This window comes from Homo sapiens, chromosome 12, assembly GCF_000001405.40.
Source record: "Homo sapiens chromosome 12, GRCh38.p14 Primary Assembly".
Lineage (NCBI taxonomy): Eukaryota > Metazoa > Chordata > Mammalia > Primates > Hominidae > Homo > Homo sapiens.
Genome location: NC_000012.12, coordinates 106,328,152 through 106,348,452, shown reverse-complemented (window position 1 = coordinate 106,348,452; position 20,301 = coordinate 106,328,152). Strand labels below are relative to the sequence as shown.

Sequence of the window (20,301 nt, the reverse complement as noted above, 5' to 3'; positions counted from 1 at the left end):
GGAATGCTTCTTTTTATTTTCTACCCACTCGACCTCACCAAATTACTAGGGCTCAATTGAGTCCTTAGCAAACAAAACAATCAAAAATGTATTTTATGCAAATGAAGCTCTTTTTAGACCAAGTACCTCCCAACTGCAGTGCTTCCCGCAGCACTCCAAGAAGAGTAATTCCAGGATAAGCAGATTTCTCTAAAGTCTCAGTGGCAACTAGTGCCCAACTTTGCAAGGTTTGATTTAACGCTCAAGAATGGCAAATGAGGCCGGGCGCAGTGGTTCACGCCTGTAATCCCAGCACTTTGGGAGGCTGAGGCGGGCGGATCACGAGGTCAGGAGTTTGAGACCAGCCTCACCAATGTGGTGAAACCCTGTCTCTAGTAAAAATACAAAAATTAGCTGGGCATGGTGGTGCATGCCTGTAATCCCAGCTACTCGGAAGGCTGAGGCAGGAGAATCACTTGAATCCGGGAGGCAGAGGTTGCAGTGAGCCGAGATTGTGCCACAGCACTCCAGCCTGGGCAATAGAGTGAGACTCCATCTCAAAGAAAAAAAAAAAAAAAAAGAATGGCAAATGAGGCCGGGCATGGTGGCTCACGCCTGTAATCCCAGCACTTGAGGAGTCCGTGGTGGGTGGATCACGAGGTCAGGAGTTCAAGACAAGCCTGGCCAACATGATGAAACCCTGTCTCTACTAAAAATACAAAAATTAGCTGGGCGTGGTGGCGGGCGCCTGTAGTCCCAGCTACTCAGGAGGCTGAGGCAGGAGAATTGCTTGAACCCAGGAGGCAGAGGTTGCAGTGAGCTGAGATCACGCCACTGCACTCCAGCCTGGGCGACAGAGTGAGACTGCGTCTCAAAAAAAAAAAAAAAAAAAAAAAAAGGCAAATGATAATGATCCTTAGGAGGGCATCTTGGTCATAACACGGTAAAGCTTTCATCAGCACAAAAGACATCTGGTAGTTAAGTTATATGGGTAAGAAATCCAAAGTTTAACTGTTTCTTTTTCAGATATGAACTTCATGGAGAATGGGATCTCATTTTATCATTGACTCCCTTTCTTCTTCTTACAAGTAAACCAAATGAGCCCTGCCTCACATAAAAATATTAAACTCTTATATAAACCTTATCAATGGCCTGAGAACTGCAAGGACATTCACTAAGAGATTTGTGCAAAAATTGTTTTTCTTGGAGAGCAGACTAAATTGTAAGAAGAAACAAACTTCTAGAATAATTTGAGAAGGGAGTTGCTTCTATTTTCACTAAACAAACAAGGGAGGTTTTATCTGAAGTTTGTATATAGCATGAAAATGTACTTAATACATTAAAATTCTAAATAAATACTGACCATTGGTATTATAAAGTGTGATTTGGTACATTTGTGGAATTTGAGGACTTACTTTGAAAGTTTCTATTAACACATTAATAAAATGTAATTGTACATTTCAAATACAATTGTGTTTACTTCACATCATTTATTCAGAACATCAGTTCCCTCAGTTATTGTCACAACCTTCAACCCTTTAAGGAGTTGTACCAAAATTAAAAACCATTAGGTTTGATAATAACAAGTGAGAAAAACAACTCCTTAGGGGTTAAATGTCATAAGCCAAATATAAATGGTTAAGAAAACATTTACAAGTATTATATAGGTAATATAATTAATTACAAATTGTTTTCTGTTCATTACAAATATTTGTTTTAAACTTGAAAATGATGCACAAATAGGGTCTATGTGATGTTTACGTCTTCTGAGGGTCTATGTGATGTGTGTGTCTTCTGTAATGCTAATATTACCCATTACACAGATTTGGGCTAATACTGCACCACAGTACTGAGAATGTGCTGGATCTCTAATGCCATCAATGGAAGTGGACTGGATACCAAAGTACTGGATTTCCAATCTCTCGTCCAATGTCAGTTCTTCTTTAGTTAGTAGGAGGTGAAGCATCTACCTTCCCCATGGCTTCCTCATTGAAGAGCAGCTTTCGAAGTATATTTGCATAAAATGGTCCATACACTTGTTTGTTGAGATTCACAATGTTTGCATATTGAGAGCCTAGGGCTTCTAGCTCCTGCTGAATGACAGCTAGGCCTCCTGGCATAGGAGGCATGCATTTTTGAGGGCTTGGAAGACAAAGTAGCCTTCTCATGTAAAGCTTAATTCGTTTATCTGAAGGGGAAAAAAAGATACTTTTATCTGTCCATTATTAAAGTACATAATTTTTAAAAACAAGAACAAGTAATTGTAGTAGGTTGACTGCAATAATGTTCCCAATTCTTTACCCCTCCCTGCACCCATCCCCTTTCCAAGGTAGCTTTGCAGTTCCTCCTATCAAAGCTGGAGTGTGTTTTTCCCATCCTTTCCATCTGGGCTGGCCCTGTGACTTACTTTGGCCAATACAGAATGCGGTGGAAATGCCAGAGTACCAGTTTCATGCCTTGGCCTCAAGAGGCCACTCTTGTTCATGTCCACCGTCTACCTACTACCGCCATGAGAATAGGCCTGGGCTTGCTGGAGGATGAGAGACCAAGGAGAGGGAAACCCAGCTGTTCCATCTGAGGCCATCCTAGACCAACCCATAGCCAACCAGCATTCAAACACCTGAGAAAGTCCAGCCAGGATCAGCAAAGCTTCCATCCTGAGTCACAGCTGAACCACAAATACATTAGTGAGTTCAGCAAGACCAAAAGAGCCACCCGGTCGCCTCACAGACTGGTGAGTAATAATAAATGCTTATTTTTTTTAAGCTCAGGAGTTTTGTGGTATTTTGTTATGCAGCAATAGCTGACTGATAAAAAAAAAAAGGCAGAGCCCTATTTGGGGGGAATCTTCTACAAAAGTTAATCCTAAATGTTCATGATTATAATTACATACACTAAAGCTGAGTTTGTAAACTGGCATTGCCAGTCTGGCCCATGCAGTGTCTTTTTTAAAAACAGAAGCCATTTAAAATCAGGAGATTTCACATAGAAATCCATATTTCTGCTTTCTCTTGAAAAATCTAGAGATCTGGCAAACTTGGGGGCCCAAATTACCACATGGCAAGGGGGACCACACATCTAGGTTTCCCCAGGACAGTCAAAATTTACACCTGTTGTCCTGGCATAATTTTAAAAAGAGACTCTCAAAAGTACCCTGGTTGAACAATAAATTACATGGTGCCAGGCGTAGTGGCTCACACCTGTAATCCCAGCACTTTGGGAGGCCGAGGTGGGAGACTGATTGAGCCTAGGAGTTCGAGACCAGCCTGGGCAATATAGTGAAACTTCATCTCTACAAAAAAAATTTAAAAATTAGCCAGGCATGATGGTGTGTGCCTGTAGTCCCAGCTACTTAGGAGGCTGAGTTGAGAGGACTGCCTGAGCTCATGAGGCTTCAGTGAGCTGTGATCATGCCACCACACTCCAGCCTGGGCAACAGAGGGAGACTCCATCTCAAACATAATTAATTAATACTAAATAAGTTACAGGGTACTTCACACATGGCCAAGAATCAGGAGACACTGAGGAAGGGACATCCCAACCAGCACACCATTGTGCCACCTTCCCTGCCCTTCCTGCATCACTGCCTCAATGTATTTGACTTTGAGACGACTACACAAAAGCATAGAAATGCATATGGAAATCAGGCTGCAATAGTATAGGACAACTATTAATAATACTGGACAGAAAAGACCTGCTATAGCTCAGGCTGCTCCAAGGGCTTTCTCTGGCTTTGGGAACAGAAACCTCACCAATAAGAAGGTTTACTAAGGAAAATATGCCACATTGAATATAGACAACTATGATACTACTAAAATTCTTATCACCAAAGAATGCTCACAAAAATCATACATTCCAGCTAGGTCTGACCTAGAACTTGTTTCCAATGTCTATGTCTTAGAATTCTTTCCTTTTACTAGAATGCCCTTCAATCTCATCTCATTTCATCTCATCTCTGCCCAGAATCAGAGGCATCCTTCAATGTCGTGCCAAAAGTTACCTCCTTTCTGTGACTTTCCTTAGCATCTGTTACCAGACTATCGTGACATATGATTGCCAGTTGAGAAGGTGTCTCTCTCCCTTCTTGGACAGTGGACTCTCTGAGCGTGAGGTTTATATCTTTTTTATCTTTATATTCTTGGTCTGTCATGTGACAGACACATTGTAAATGCTGACTGAACTTAAGTGAGAATGGACTGAAAAGAGTCTATAAAGATAAATAACGAACTGAAAACCGTGGCAGCCAGGGGAAAATGGGGACTGAAGAAGGCAAACAAAGGTGACTTAAGCCTTATCTGTATTTTTTTTCTTTTTTTATATATAGACAGGGTCTCCATCTGTTGCCCAGGAGAGTCTCAAACTCCTGGCCTCAAGCCATCCTCCTGCTTTGGCCTCCCAAAGTGCTGGGATGACAGGCATGAGCCACCGTGCCTGGCCTTTGTCTGTAATTTTTCTACAAGGAGAAATTATTGTATCACCTGTGCAACTGAAATTACTTGTTAAAAGTGTAGATGGCAGGCCAGGCACAGTGGCTTAGGCCTGTAATCCCAGCACTTTGGGAGGCCAAGGTGGGCGGATCACGAGGTCAGGAGTTTGAGACCAGCCTGGCCAATATGGTGGAACCCCGTCTCTACTAAGAATACAAAAAAAATAGCTGGGCTTGGTGGTCCGCACCTGTAGTCCCAGCTACTAGGGAGGCTGGGGCAGAAGTATTCTTCTTGAACCCAGGAGGCAGAGGTTGCAGTGAGCCAAGATCACACCACTGCACTCCAGACTGGGCGACAGAGCAAGACTCCATCTCAAAAAAAAAAAAAGTAGACGTAGGCATGCAAATAATTTACACAGCAGGTAATCCATAATTTTTACTTAGTATGTATTCGACAGAAAAATCCCTTTCTAATATCTTTTCAAAAGGTTAAGAATTGTAATGGGAATTGGGGATTATGATCCCTTCAGTAAATAAATAGCGCATCAACTGAGAACAAAAGAAAGCATACTGTGGGTACCCTTAGCAGAGGAAAACCATGGCCAACACTGATCAAGCCCTTCTCAGGTTCCAGGAATCTCTCTGTTTAATTTATTCTAACTCCTCTGCAGGCATACATTTAGAGTTAACTGTGTACTACTTTCCCTTTAGACTAGTTGCCTGACCTTCAGAGGCCCAGGTCTATATCATCACAGATATGATCCAAACGCTTTCCCATAAGAAGGTTTAAAAATGAAACCCTTTCAAAATCCTTATTATGTCAGCAAGTGGTTCTGCCTCTTTTGCCTCTTTTGCAGATGAGTCTGTTTTTAGGCAAAGGCTAAAGTGACCGGAGTGTTTGTAAAGTTAGGAGCAGCCACACGGAGTCCCTGCCAAAGGCGTGTCCTTGGCTTCCAGAGTCGAAGAAGAGACGTTCAAGTGAGTCACTTAAGTTGCTAGGGCAACAGTACTTTGAATGAGATTAAAAATGCTTTCAATTTGCAAAAGGACAGGAAAGTTGGACTGGGGAAAGCTGGGTGGACAAAAGTTGCTTTACCAGATTTTAAGAGGAATCTCCTAGCCCTCAGCTTCCCTCTTCCTTCTGATACTGCAAGCATTTCCCTTATCCAAAGAAAAGTCACAGAGTACACTCTGACACTCTGGCCACTCTGCCAGCAAGCAACAGCGCTCCAGCTCTGACTGACGTGCCAGTCAGAGCAGTTAGGAACATGAGCTCTGGAGTCAGACAGGCTGGGGAAGACAGACTCTGCCCCCAGCTTGTTATGGGACTTTGAGTGAAAGTTATTTAACCTCTCCAAGTCTCCTATGCATTTACCCATTTCACAAATATTTATTAAATATATGTGCACGTGCAGCATTGCACAAGAATATAGCAGTGAACAAACCTGCACGCTGTCCTCATGAGGCCTGCACACTACTGGGGATCTGGCAGTATGCTGCAGAGACTGCTGGGCAGTGTCTCAGTCCCTACTCTATCCCTCTTCCTCCTAGAACACCATCTCTCAGGTTTTACCTGTTCAGCTGGGGACAACATGCTCTGAGGACAGATGCATGTCAGCATGTGAAGGTATATAGATAAGGGCTTGGCCACAGGTGACAGTGGTCATAATCTGTTATTGTTATCAACTGTCCCCTCTTAGGAGCAGCCTCTCCAGCAGCCCACAATGTCGTATACACCAACACTGTTCCTTTCTGGGGGCAAAGTTGAAGCTTGGATCCCCAGCATTCCATGTCCCCAGGGATAAGGATGAACAACACCATTTGAAAGCCTCAAATCAATAATAAAATGTATTTGTATTCTTAAGGCCGTCAATGTTGTACTTTGAAAATTTGCAGATTAGTCCTAGCAGGTTAGTACATTCTAATTCTACACTCTTCTACTTTTGGTTTTCATCCTTCAACCTCTGTAGTAGACAACTGCTTTGTACCACACGGCAGCTTCTCCCCTTCCTTATGGCCACAATACTCTGATTTTATTTGGGGGTAACCATCTCCTCCCTACTCTCATCAGGTGTTACAGAGAAAACTGACTCTTCCTTGGCTCCAGGAGGTGAATACATGTCTCAGGCTTAACTTTCTTCCCCTCAGGCCACCATGACCAATTCAAGAATGGGACATGAACCATAGTCAGGCTAACTGGAGCCACTGAGACTCAATGATGGGGTCACTGTTTGAGCCAACAGGGAGGCAGATTCCTTGTTTTTCACTGGACTTAAATATGGAAGGTTGTAGGCTGGAGCTAAAGCCATCCTGCTGTCATGAGAAAAGTCTGCCTGTGAAGGCAGCTGGCCCAGGAGAAGGTAGTGTTGAGAGCTGGAGGCGGGAAAACTAGTGCCAGTGACAGCTGGAACTCTCATTAGGCTGTACCAGAAGCCAGTCCTACCCCTGGTCTTTTCAGTTAGATGAGAAAATAAATGATCATTTTGTTTAAGCTAGTTTAGAAGTTTAGATTCTTGTCACAGGTAGCAGAAAAAGTCCTAACTGATACATTATCCATTTTCCCAACTCACCAACACAGCTTGACTTTGAGACAGTCAATTTCCTGGCTGACCATTACAAAAAGAAGCCTACACACTATGTCTCCCGGATCCACACATTTTTAGTCTTTGTCTCTTTAAGCCTGACCAAGTTCCTTCAGAGCTGCTCACAGCAGAACTCATATCTACTATCTGTGAACATACTGCCAGCTGGTTTGAATTACTGCATTGATCTAGGATTTTAACATTACTCCAGCACTCTGTTATTCTTGTCATAAAATCTATTGGCTGAATAGATAATAGGCCCTGAAACATCCCCCAACTCCATGACACACAGAAGCAGCAATGAGTCCTAGGCCTTTGAAAACATTAATATTTCTTGATATTTTCAATATTTATCCTCCAAAAGTGGGTAATGTGTTTAAGATCAAAATTTGACTGACTTAATGTTAGTCAAAATCAGCAAGTTAAAGCAAATTGGAATTGAAGCAGAAATCAATAAAAGGACTCACCAATCAAGGACCAGATAGGATTGTCCTCCTCTTCAATGCTTGAAAATTGACCTATAAGATTAGCTTGAATCTCAGCATTTAAAGTGGGTAAACCTCTTTCCATCAGGGTCTTGTTAACCTCAACACAAGTCTGAATACCAATAGAATTCAGGACTTCCTTCAAGTTAAAGGTCCTATGAAACATAAAATGAAATTCCACCAGGGAAAGTTTTTGTTCATCAAGTTATTATTTTTAATATACAGACTTGTTTTAGATGTCTACCAAATTTCTCTTATACAGACAATAATAACCTCTATTAGAATGAACTCATAAAATAGTAACTCCTCCCAACCACCAACCTTCTGATGTAGCAGACTTCTAAATGCTTAAAATCATTAAATTGTGTAGCAGTGTTTAAATAGAAAAGCATAAGCAGAAAATGTGGTCCCCAAAAATGCACCTGCAACCCCATTTATATTGCAGGGCTATCAGAAAGGGACAGAAAACACCAATTTACTTCTTAAACTTGTTGGTCTGAGTGGATTCATTCACACATTTTAAAAAATGCACTTGATAAATGAAGTAGACTCAATTCATCTATGCCTGAGCAGTAAATCTATAACACCAATCAAAAACAACAAATGAAGATATTCAGAGGTCAAATACCTAGAACTTTTGGCTGATCATGACCAAGGATAATAAGCTCCTTCACATTATTCAAGTAACTGATAAATAATCTCCAATATATAGAGTCCAGAAAGTTGTAAAGGTAATTAAAGAGTGAGTTATTTAGTAGGTAAGGAAAAATAGGTAATTAGAAAAGGCATTTGTTGGGTCCACACTATTAGGGAAAGATGACTGAAAATTTTATCTCACTATCCAGAAAAGGTCCTTAAGATAACTCTGCAAAATGGGAATTAAAGGATGAGAGAAGGGCTCAATGATAGGAAGCAGTATAACGGAGCGAGTTGGAACATAAGCTATGGTGTTATGTGGAGCTGGGTTCAAATCCTGGCTCTACCACTGAACTTCTATGTGTCTAATATTTAGCTCTTAGCAGATTATCAGGCACATGGAAGAAGGAAAAGAGAAAAATAGGTTATCATGTTTATCATCATTAACAGCAATAAGAAATAAGTTCTTGGCATTCTGCCTTGACTGGAATTTGTTATAAGCCCACACTGGACCTGACGTTGGAATTCTGTAACCCAAGGATAGACTGATTGTAATAAAATTTTTACCTTCCGACTTTTTATCCACTACAATGTACTGCCCTAGATTTTTCTTGCTTTTAATCAGTGAGTTCTTAGGCTAAAGGGAAACTGGCTAGCCATATGCAGAAAATTGATACTGGACTCCTTCCTTTCACCAGATACAAAAATCAACTCAAGATGGATTAAAGACTTAACTATAAGACCTTTAAAAACCCTAAAGGAAGACCCAGGAAACACCATTATGGACATAGGCCTTGGCAAACATTTCGTGATGAATTACCCAAAAGCAAATGCAACAAAAGCAAAAATAGACAAGTGGGACCTAATTAAACTAAAGAGCTTATGCACAGCAAAAGAAATTATCCACAGAGTAAACAGCCTATAGAATGGGAGAAAATATTTGCAAACTATGCATTCAACAAAGGTCTAATATCTAGAATCTACAAGGAACTTAAACACTCGACAAGCAAAAAACGACCTCATTAAAAAATGGGCAAAGGACATGAACAGATACTTCTCAAAAGAAGACATACATGTAGCCAACAAGCATCTGAAGAAATGCTCAACATCACTAATCATTAGAGAAATGCAAATCAAAACCACAGAGAGATACCATCTCATACCAGTCTGAATGGCTATTTTTTTCTTTTCTTTTCTTTTGAGACGGAGTCTCACTCCGTCACCCAGGCTGGAGTGCAGTGGCACAATCTCGGCTCACTGCAACCTCTGCCTCCCAGGTTCAAGTGATTCTCCTGCCTTAGCTTCCTGAGTAGCTGGGACTACAGGCATGCGCCACCATGCTCGGCTAATTATTTTTTGTATTTTTTGTAGAGACGGGGTTTCGCCATCTTGGGCAGACTAGTCTTGAACTCCTGACCTCAAGTGATCTGGCTGCCTCGGCCTCCTAGAATGCTGGGATTACAGGTGTGAGCCACCGTGCCCAGCCTGAATGGCTATTATTAAAAAGTCAGAAAATAACAGATTCTGGCAAGGTTGTAGAGAAAAGAGAGCACTTATACACTGCTGGTGGGAATGTAAATTAGTTCAGCCACTGTGGAAAGCAGTTTGGAGATTTCTAAAATAACTTAAAACAGAACTACCATTCAACTGAGCAATCCCATTACTGGGTTTATTCCCAAAGGAATAGAAATCACTCTATCAAAAAGACACATGTACTCATATATTCACTGCAGCACTATTCACAACAGCAAAGACATGGAATCAACCTAGATGACCATCAATGGTGGACTGGATAAAGAAAATATGGTATATGTACACCATGGAATACTATACAGCTGTAAAAAGAATAAGATCATGTTCTTTGCAGCAACATGGGTAAAACTGGAGACCATTATCCTAAGCAAATTAATTCAGAAACAGAAAACCAAATACCACATGTTCTCGCTTATAAGTGGGAACTAAACACTGAGTAAACATGGACATAAAGGGGAACAACAGATACTGGCTCCTACACTTAAAGGTGGAGGTCTGGAGGAGGGTGAGGGTTGAAAAACTAACTATGCTCACTACCTGGGTGATGAAATCACTGGTACACCAAACCCCAGTGACCCTCAATTTACCCACGTAAAAAACCTGTACATGTGCCCCTACACCTAAAATAAAAGTTGAAAAAGGGAAAAAAAGCAAAAATCAATTAATCAATAAATCCTCTTTCAGCTCTTCAAAAAAAGTTGTCTTAGCATAAGCCATGCCTTCTACTCACAATGAAGAGGGAAAAACTCCTTCTAGTTTTCAAGATGCATCATCAAACCCAATATAAATGACATCTTGGTCTATTATTTAGTACTATCCCTTTTTTTAATACTATGAATGCTATTGCCCCATCCGTAATGAGGATAATTGAGAATTGATTGTATTGATTTCCTAACACAGGAAAAAAATTTAAACAATGAAACAACCAGATAAACAACCAGATACAATTATAAAGAGGATGATTTAATGACTAGTTATTAATAGCTAGCATTCATTGAGTACATATTACGTGCCACACATCTGTACCTGAATCATCTTAAGTTCTCACAACTCCAAGGTAGATATTAATACAATTATTATTCCCTTCTTACAAGTGAGGAAGTCAGGCTCATAGTAATTTGAGAACATATTCAAGTGTTCATAATAAGTCAGTAGCAGAGCTGGGATTTAAACCCTGGTCCATCTGACCCGAAAGCCTGTCTTCTTAGTAACCACTTTCTGTATACTTTATAATAACATTTCAGCAGCACTGGGTATTCCCTAAAGGCTTAATAAATAAAAGTTTCTGGAAAGTAATGACTACCCATGCAGGGAAATCATAAGATAAGACCAACTGCAAAATCAGAGGTTTCCTTTCATTATAGGTCTTGGTCCTGGAATATTAATGAGCATCAGAATCAGGAGAAAGGTCAGATCAGGGCTCAGTCCTTGGTCTGCCCTTTTCTGTTTGCAGCCCAAGGCAAATTCTATTCTATCTGTAAGCTTCAGTTCAAAATGAGAAGTTGGATTCTGTAACTACATGGGCTCCTTTTGGCTCTTAATAGTCTAGGATTTCATCAAGTAATTTATATGCTCTCTGAATAATAGGTGGGAGGATGAGAAGACAGGTGCATTTCCCTTCAATTACAGGAATAAAGAGGACATGCCTCTGAAGACACCTGAAAGGGGAACCAGCAGAAGCTGATCCATAAGAGACCCATAGAACCATCTGGCCATTCACCAAGACTAAGAATTTCTGACTTAGATAGGAATTCCTATTGGATGATGTAAATGCAAAATCTAAATGGGATTCTAGCATTCATGAAGGTGTAATACTGGAGATAAATTTAGCAAAAACCAAAATCTTCACTGGACTGTGTCACATCTCTGAAGGGCAGAATTGTCAGCACTTCTGAAGACTTCGTAGCAAGGTGGATTTGTGAAGTCAGTAAACATTTCACTGCAGAAAAATGATGAAGTCAGAACAACTGGAGGAAAGCCCTCTTCAATAGCACAATTCTAGGGAGGCCGAGATGGGTGAGTCATGAGGTCAAGAGATCGAGACCATCCTGGCCAACATGGTGAAACCCGGTCTCTACTAAAAATACAAAAATTAGCTGGGCGTGGCGGCGCATGCCTGTAGTCCCAGCTACTTGGGAGGCTGAGGCAGAAGAATTGCTTGAACCCGGGAGGCGGAGGTTGCAGTGAGCTGAGATTGCGCCACTGCACTCCAGCCTGGTGACAGAGCGAGATTCTGTCTCAAAAAAAAAAAAAAAAAAAAAAAATTGCGCAATTCTAAACATCAAGCTTGGCAGATTTCTGTGTTTCATTTGTTTTTTTCCAAAGCACTGTCAAAGAAAAGCTGTTGTACACATTCATTGTAAGTGGAAATACTACACTCACCCTGGCACTTGTCATGGAAAACACCTCTCCCTTCCTATGAGAGGACATCTAAGCCTTCAGAGATATTAAAGGAAATTCTAGAAAAAGGTGTAAGATAAGCTTCTCTAAAGCACAGTCCTGAATCTCACATCCAGATGTCCAAGGTCATTCTTGTTCTCTGAGACACATGCAGAGCCTTAATACAAGAGGGAGCAGATGCAAAAATTTGGAACTTACTCTTTGTTCATGCCTTCAAGTAGAACAGCTGAAATCCTTGTTAACCTGCTTGCAAGCTCAGGCAGGCCTCCTGTAATAGCACCCACCATGTTGTTGGTAATTAGGGACAGGCAGGCAATAATTTTCAATTGATTCAGCTTTTCTGTTAGTTCCTGAAGACGTGCTCCATCTGTCATAAGTGTCTAACATATTTATTTAAAATATAAAAATAGAAAGGGTAGCTCAATAGCATGAAAATACAAAACAGGCAATGTCATTTCCAAATTCCCATTTTTATCTGATTTTTGTAAAGTCATTAAACCACATGAAACACAGACCAGATGATTCAAAGTTAGAACTTAAGAATAAAAATACTGGGAAATTTGGGTGAAGAACAAAACCACTCACCTCTGGTAATTCTTTTTTCTGATAATCCCACTGTAACAGTTTCAAGTAACTATTATTTAGCACCAAAGTAGGGCTCAGGCTTGGCTTGGAGGTATTTTCGGCCCCAGGAGTTAAAGCACTCTCAGAAAGAGAAAATAATTCTTCATTTACAGATTCTTTTATCCATTCTGTAGTCTGATCAAGAGCACCTAAGAGTGAAAAGGCCACATATTTGTTCTACAGCTGATTGATCCCTTCACTGGTGTATTCCACTTGACAGATGCTGTGTTGGGTGCTGGGCATGAATGAGAAGACACAGCCATGCCCTGCAAGGAGTTTACAGTCCAGATGGAAAGGCAGACCTGTAAACTAACAATTATAACAGAGTACAATGAATGCTAGTAATTGTGGGAAAGAGGCTGTCCAGGAAAGAATCTAAGAGGAAGAGCTCTGTAAGTGCTCTGGAAAAGACAGCATATGGCACATTCTAGATGTCACATTCTGGATGCCACAAACAAATCTGTATTGCTGGTCCATAAAGAACTAGGGGTAAGAGGGTTGTAGCAAATGGCATTGGATGGGTGGTTAGAAGCCAGCCTTGAGTTTGTGCAGAGAAGGTATTTAGAGAAAAGGCATTAATTTTCACACATTTTTGGTAAAAGGTGAAAGATTTATACAATCTGAAGAGAAAATAGAGTATAATTATTACACATTTTTGGGTCTTGGACCACTTTTAATAACTAATTGGAGATATGCCTTTCCCAAAGTGAATGTGCACAATCACGTGCACATGTCCACAAACAATTGTCATTCTCTCTTACCAGATTGACAGTCCCCAGGTTACAAACACCAGCGATGGGAATGGGGAGTTTTGAATAATATTATTTTCTTTCTTTTCTTTTTTTTTAAGACGGGGTCTCACTCTGTCACCCAGGCTGGAGTGCAGTGGGGCAATCTCAGCTCACTGCAACCTCCACCTCCCATGTTCAAGCGATTCTCCTGCCTCAGCCTCCTGAGTAGCTGGGACTACAGGCGTGCACCACCACACCCAGATAATTTTTGTATTTTTAGTAGAGATGGGGTTTCACCATGTTGGCCAGGATGGTCTCAATCTCCTGACCTCATGATCCACCCACCTTGGCCCCCAAAAGTGTTGGGATTACAGGCGTGAGCCACTGCGCCCGGCTGAATAATATTATTTTCAACATGGAACCTGTATGATCAGATATGTATGTCAGAAAAATTGCTTGGAAAGAAAGACTGAATTAGTGGAGGGAGAGTAAATTATTGCAGTGGTTCAAACAAGAGAGTGAATGGATAAGGGCAGTGGAAGTGAGGGGTAAAGAGGGAAAAAGTGAGAAATATTTAGGGGGAGTACCCACAGGTCTTGGTGACCACTTACATGTAGAGAATAGGAAAGGAGTATTCTAGGATGACTCCCAGATTTGCACCTTGGACATCTGAATGAATGCCTGTGCCATCTACCAAGATACAGAATATAGGCTAGAGAGGTTCTGAAATAAATCCTTCCCATAACCTTTCTAAGGCCACCACCTGGTTGTCAAATCCAACAAACATGTCCTTCCTACCTTTTTTAAACATCTCTGTAATACAGACATCTCTTAGTACAGCCCTCCAGAAACTCTTTCCCTGGCTTTTCTGACACCACTTTTTCCTGGTTTCCCCTAGCTGTGCTTCTGCATCTCATACTTGGGTTGAGAAGACAGGTGCATCTCCCTTCAATTACAGGAAGATGTTCCTCTGCCTGTTCATTAAATGTTGATACTTCCAAGCACTCTACCCAATCCCCACTGATTTGGTACTCTTCAATCTCACTAGACCATCTTACTCATTCCTGTGGTTTCTATTTCCGCCCATACCCCATAAGGCTCCTAAATCTGTATCTATAGCCCTCACTTCTCTCCTGAGCTTTTGATTTCCTCATTTGTAGAACGAGCAAGTGGGAGGAGAGTCATTAAATATGAAGTTGAGCAGAGATGCCCAGTACAGAACACTGCTACATAGTGTTTCCATCATCCAGATATAACAGGTACTTTATACCTGTTATATGTACAGTCTTGAGATTCTTTAATGTCAAGACTATAGACAATAGTAAGATAATTTGGAAGTGAAGCGTTTTTAGTATTTGTTTACCTTTACTTTTTATAATTATTTTGTTTTTTTCACATATATAAATATGTTTATATTTACAGACATAATAAATTCATACAATAAAATGTTCAGCTCTTAAGTGTTCAGTTTGGTGAGTTTTGGCTATTCTATATACCTGTGCAACTACCACCTAAAACAAGATATAAACCATATCCATTACCCAAGAAAGTTCTCTCGTCTCCCTTTCCAGTCAATGTGCACCTCACTCAACTACTTTTAACTCCTAACTGCATGAATCAGTTTGCCTTCTAGAAATTCATATAAATGGAATCATAAAGTACCTAGCATAGTGTTTCTGACATTTATCCACACCGACTTATGTATCACAGTTCATTGTTTTTTAGGGCTTTAAAAATAACTTTTAAATTTTGAAATAGCTTTAACTATTTCAAAATAAAAGACTTAAGAAGTTGTGAAAATAGTACAGACAGTTACTGTATACCCTTCACCCAGCTGCCCCCAAGGACAGCATCTTAAATAACTATAGTATATTGTCAAAATCAGGAAACTGACATGGGTACAATACCACTAACTTATACTGATTTTACCAGTTTTTGCATGCATCCTTTGTGTGTGTATAGTTCTAAGAAATTGTGTTACATATGTGGATCCCTGTAACCATCAGGATACTCAACTATTCCATCACCATAAAATATCTCCTCACGTTACCTCCCAGTAGTCACACTCTCACCTCAACCCTAAATTCTGGTAACCACTGATCACCAAAACTATGTCACTTCAAGAATGTTATGTAAATAGAATCATACAATATGTAGCTGTTATGGACTGTTTGTGTCCACCTGCCACCCAAATTTCTATCATGAAGCCCTAACTTCCACTGTGATGACATTTGGAGATGGAGACTTTGGGAGGTAATTAGGGTTAGATGAGGTCATGAGGGTTGATACCCTTAAAAGAGGAGACAAAAAAAAGAGCTTCCTCTTTTTCTTTCCATCTGCACACACTGAGAAATAGGCATGTCTGCAGTGCCAGGAAGAAAGCCCTCATCAGGAACCAAATCAGCTGGCACCTTCATTTTGGACTTTCAGCCTTGAGAACTGTGAAAAATAAACTAATATTAAGCTACCCAGTCTGTGGTACTTTGTTATGGTAGCCTGAGCAGACCAGCAAAATAACCCTTTGAGATTGGCTTTGTTTTCTAAGCATCCATCCAAGTTGTATGTATCAATAGTTCATTCCTTTTTATTACTGAGTGGTATTCTATTGTATGGATATACCACAGTCTGTTTATCTACTTACCTGTTGAAAGCCATTTTGGTTGTTTCAGTTTGGGGTTATACAAATAAGGCTGCTACGAATATTTATGTATAGGTTTCTGTGTGAATGTAAGTTTACAATTCTTGGGGATAAAGACTCAGTATTGCAATTGCTAGGTTGTAACTGCGTTTAATAAGAAACTGCCTAATGATTTCCCAGAGTTTTACCTTTGTTTTTAATATAATGTATTTAATTGTAAATTTATATAATTTAATTTTTAGTAATGGCTGTGTTTACTAGCTCACAAAATTCCTTAAAGTATAGCAAATGGCTCCCAAGTCTGTACCGACCACATCCAGCTTACCACTGACAGTGTCCATTTCTAAAACTGATTATCTGTCAAACAGAGCCCAGTATAATTAGGCAGGCAAGTCTTTTACATTTATTCCTTGAAACAGATTTGACAAGAACATAAACATAAGTTGCAGTGCAAAGAGACTGATCAGCAACAGACTGCTGCAACAGTTTAGAAAGCAAGACAGAGAATGAAGAAGCAGCTTGACTGGGGAGTCAAATTTGCATTGCAGATGAATGAATCTCAATTTAGTGCAACCTAATATCAAAGCAATCAACATGTGACTAAGAACTTGTGCTAGGCTCCCCCATGCAGAGCAAGTGGCTGGTGCAGTAGTTGGGAGCCGTGGCCTCTGAGCCAGGCAGTCTCAACTTCGGTCTGGCCTTTACCACTCATTAGCTGTATGTCTTGGGCAGGTTACCTAATGTCTCCTCAGTTTCCTCTGTCTGTGAATTGGGGATAATATTCTTCCTGAAGCTGTGGTAAAGATTCAACAAACTAGTACATGCAAAACACTTAGAACCGTTTCTGGCACAAAGGAAATGTCCCCTAAGTGTTAGCAACTGTAAACTCTGTAAACAACCTTTAAAGACGGGGATTATTGTCTCTAGAGGGCCCAGTCAGGTTCTCTGCCTGATACACAACAGCTGCCTTATTAACAAAGTTGCCTCAGACAAAGTGATCACCCGTGGAATAAAAAGAGTGAGTAGGCTAAGCAGTGGGGTGGTTAAAATGAGCTTTTTTGGGAACTTGGCTTTTTTCTTTTCTTTTCTTTTCTTTTTGTAGATACCAGTTAGCGTGCTAGCTTGAGGGAGCAGAATCTCAGCAGATCTCCTTAAAGAAAAGCCAATGCTTTAAAGGAGATGTTATCTGGAAAACATGCAGACACTGAAAATCTAGTTTATGCAGTATGATCCCTGGTATTTGGCAAGGGCTATTCCAGAAGTCAAGATGGGAAAGGGAGAAGGAAGCAGTGAGGAAGGAAGAAATCACTGAACTTGAGTCTCATACTTAATTTGACCTTAAAGACTATGACCTTAAAGACAATGTCCAGTTAGATTGTCCTTCCACTTTAGACAAGTTTATCAAGTTCAATTCTTCTGGATAAAAAATATGTATCACTGGAAATGAGGTTTTATACTTGAATTCATTTCATTTTTAAGCATATGGCACTTAAATATTACTACAATATAGGTTACTAGGTGCCTAATAGTTATTATTAGCAGAGTTCCCTTGCTAGCAGTTTCTATGACAAACAACTCACACAGAGTTGCTTCAAAAGATGCCTCTGCAAGGGCTCGCTTCTGCAAGTGGAAATGGCTCCCTCTAGACAATGGAAAGAAGGCAAGAAGAAGGAGGCACCCACCAGCAGCCATGACTAGCTGAAATCAGACTGATTCCAAACACAAAACAACCCCCAAGTGCTCAACGGCCACCAGACTTCCTTGCTTATTGAAGCCCAAATTTTCCTGGAGCATAAGATGGTTCCTTGGGTCATCACGAAATGGATTCATTCCAATTCTTTATTTAGGGTGTCTCAACCTCGGCACTATTGACATTTTGGACTGGATAATTCTTCGTTGTTGAGGGCTGCCCTGTTCACTATAAAATGTTTAGCAGCATACCTAAGCTCTACCTACTAGATGCCCTTCCTCAGCCTCCCGCCCTGCCCTGCCAGGATGGGACATACAAGTGTCTCCAGACATGGCCAAATGTTGTGGGGCGGGGGCAGTGGCAAAAATCACCCCTAAGAGAACCACGTTGAGAACCACGGACTTAGATGACAAATAGTTTTTATTTACTTTTGCTCTAAGTAGTTCTTCTAACTTTGAATAAAATGTCTCTTACATCATGAACTAAATGAAATTTGACATGCCAAGGCTATTCCAGGAGGCTGAAAGTTTGGAGGCAGTAATTCTCTACTGGGGCTGTCTGCCTTAGGACAAAATTCACTTTATTTTGCTTTAGGCCCAGTTCTAAGGTTTCCCACTAGAAACAAATTGCTTTTTATACCACAGTTCTTATACAATTATACATTTGGTAGAATTTATAAGGTGACAATTGCCAAGAAATACAGCCTGAACACAGGTGCAGAGTAGAGAGAGACTGAAATTCTTCTTGGACCCAGCACTTGAGCAGGGATAATTTATGAGTAGTTCTGTTTGCCACACTAAAGCAACACCACCCCCAGAATTTCACAACTCTTGTTTCTCCTCAGTTGGCAAATGTTGTTTTTGGTTTGCTAGTTCTGTTTTATAAAGATGTAAAAGACTTGCAGTCTTTCATTTAAAAGACATCCAACTGAGAGAGCGCGAGTGGAAATCATCGTGAATATAATTACAATGTGGCAGTAATAAGCATTTATACTGCAAGTTTAATCATTTACAGCTGACACATTTAAGAGCCCATTTAGTTACCTTGAACAAAAGCAACAGTGTGGCATAGTGGTTCTCAATCCTGGCTGACTTTAGAATCACCTGGGGAGCTTTAAAAAGGAAAAAAAGAGTTCATGGGCACAGCTCCTGGAGACTTTGATTTATTCTGTCTGAGGCAGGGCTCAGGCCTCTGTGTTTAAACGCCCCAGATGATTCTAATTTGTAGTCAGACTTGAGAATGACCGGTAAAGCAGAAGGAGCATGCGTTTAGAGTGAAACGTTGGCTCTTCTCTTAGGGATCGGCAGAGACTTCACTCTCACAGGCTGGCACGGTGACTGCTCTCTCTGGTTCCAAAAGCAAGGTCAGCCTCATGAGGCACCTGCAACCTCGGCTTTTCCTGGGGACAGGATTAAGAATTTTTCCACTCATTCGTTTATTTGACGAAAACCACTGGGCACCTACTCAGTCCCAGGTATTGTACCAAGTACTGGGGATTTAAAGGTAAATAAGCACAGTCCCTGCACTCGAGAAGTTCCTAGTCTAGTAAGGGAGAGACAGACACCAGAACAAGCAATGGTATTACACGTGCTTCTACCCCAATTTTCAGTTGGAAAAATGTAGTTTCCTTATCCATGACATCTTTTTTTTTTGCCTGGCAACATCTCACTTTCCCTTCTTTTGGTGCTGGCTTTCTCTGAGAAACCATTTCCTCTGGTTCCATGTTTTCTTTTGTGAGTCTCAATTCAGAGGCCCCATCTTCCCGACCAGGGGCTGGCCGAGCAGAGTCACGTGCCCAGCAGAGCCGACTCCTTCCCGGGATCTGAGTGGTGAGAGTGTTCAGGGATGGCCTACGTTTACAGCCCACATCAACCATCGTGACAATGGAGCCTTGCTATCCCTTGGTTTTTCCTATCCAGATTTGTGACATTCTTCTGATTTCTGACATTTTGGCTTTTCCTTTGATTCTGCAAACTTCCTCCATCCTTCCATTCACTTCCCTTTGGCTAAGTCAGCTAGAGTTGGTTTCTGTTCCTTGCAATACAACTCAGGTAATATAACACAAAACTGAAAAATTCAAAGAAGGCTGAAAAAGTAGCAGCTTGGTTTAATCTGGACTTGGATTTGGGAGACCTGGTTTCCAGTCCTAGCTCCACTGTTTTTTGTTTTGTTTTGTTTTGTTTTTGAGACAGACACTTGCTCTGTCGCCCAGGCTGGAGTGCAGAGGCGCAATCTCGGCTCACTGCAGCCTCCGCCTCCCAGGTTCAAGCCATTCTCCTGCCTCAGTCTCCTAAGTAGCTAGGATCACAGGCACGCGCCACCACACCCGGCTAATTTTTGTATTTTTAGTAGAGACAGGGTTTCACCATGTTGGCCAGGATGGTCTCGATCTCCTGAACTCATGATCTGCCCGCCTTGGCCTCCCAAAGTGCTGGGATTACAGGCGTAAGCCATGGCGCCCAGCCTCCACTGTTTACTTAGCTGAATGATTCTGAGTCTAAGGAGGTCATCACTGAGCATCAGTTTGCTCTTCTTTAAAATATTCCATAAATATTTCTTGAACCCCTCATGTGACAG

The 20,301-nt window shown here is 41.0% G+C and overlaps 1 protein-coding gene across 20 annotated transcripts in view, besides 1 other annotated feature; it reads right to left on the bottom strand.

The window, feature by feature from the left end:
* Positions 1-1,449: 1,449 nt before the first annotated feature.
* TCP11L2 (t-complex 11 like 2) overlaps positions 1,450-20,301 on the bottom strand; it is a 49,069-nt gene continuing 30,217 nt past the window's right edge. For 13 of the 20 annotated variants that reach the window (XM_047428667.1, XM_017019131.2, XM_047428666.1 and 10 more), the window contains 4 exons: positions 12,627-12,814; positions 12,240-12,421; positions 7,455-7,627; positions 1,450-2,167 (listed from right to left, as the gene is read on the bottom strand). In XM_047428667.1, the coding sequence (XP_047284623.1) occupies positions 1,923-2,167; positions 7,455-7,627; positions 12,240-12,421; positions 12,627-12,814 (788 nt within the window). In that variant the 3' untranslated portion in view covers positions 1,450-1,922. Of the gene's footprint in view, positions 2,168-7,454; positions 7,628-12,239; positions 12,422-12,626; positions 12,815-18,283; positions 19,124-20,301 lie in introns of those variants that run through there. The other 7 variants (XM_047428669.1, XM_047428671.1, XM_047428673.1 and 4 more) reach the window with 2 other exon arrangements.
* Positions 16,649-17,150: an enhancer, noted in NCBI's record as "NANOG hESC enhancer chr12:106725081-106725582 (GRCh37/hg19 assembly coordinates)". NCBI's record gives its function as "activates a minimal SCP1, AML or CMV promoter by ChIP-STARR-seq in primed H9 embryonic stem cells {active_cell/tissue: H9 hESC(primed)}" and the evidence as "EXISTENCE:reporter gene assay evidence [ECO:0000049][PMID:30033119]".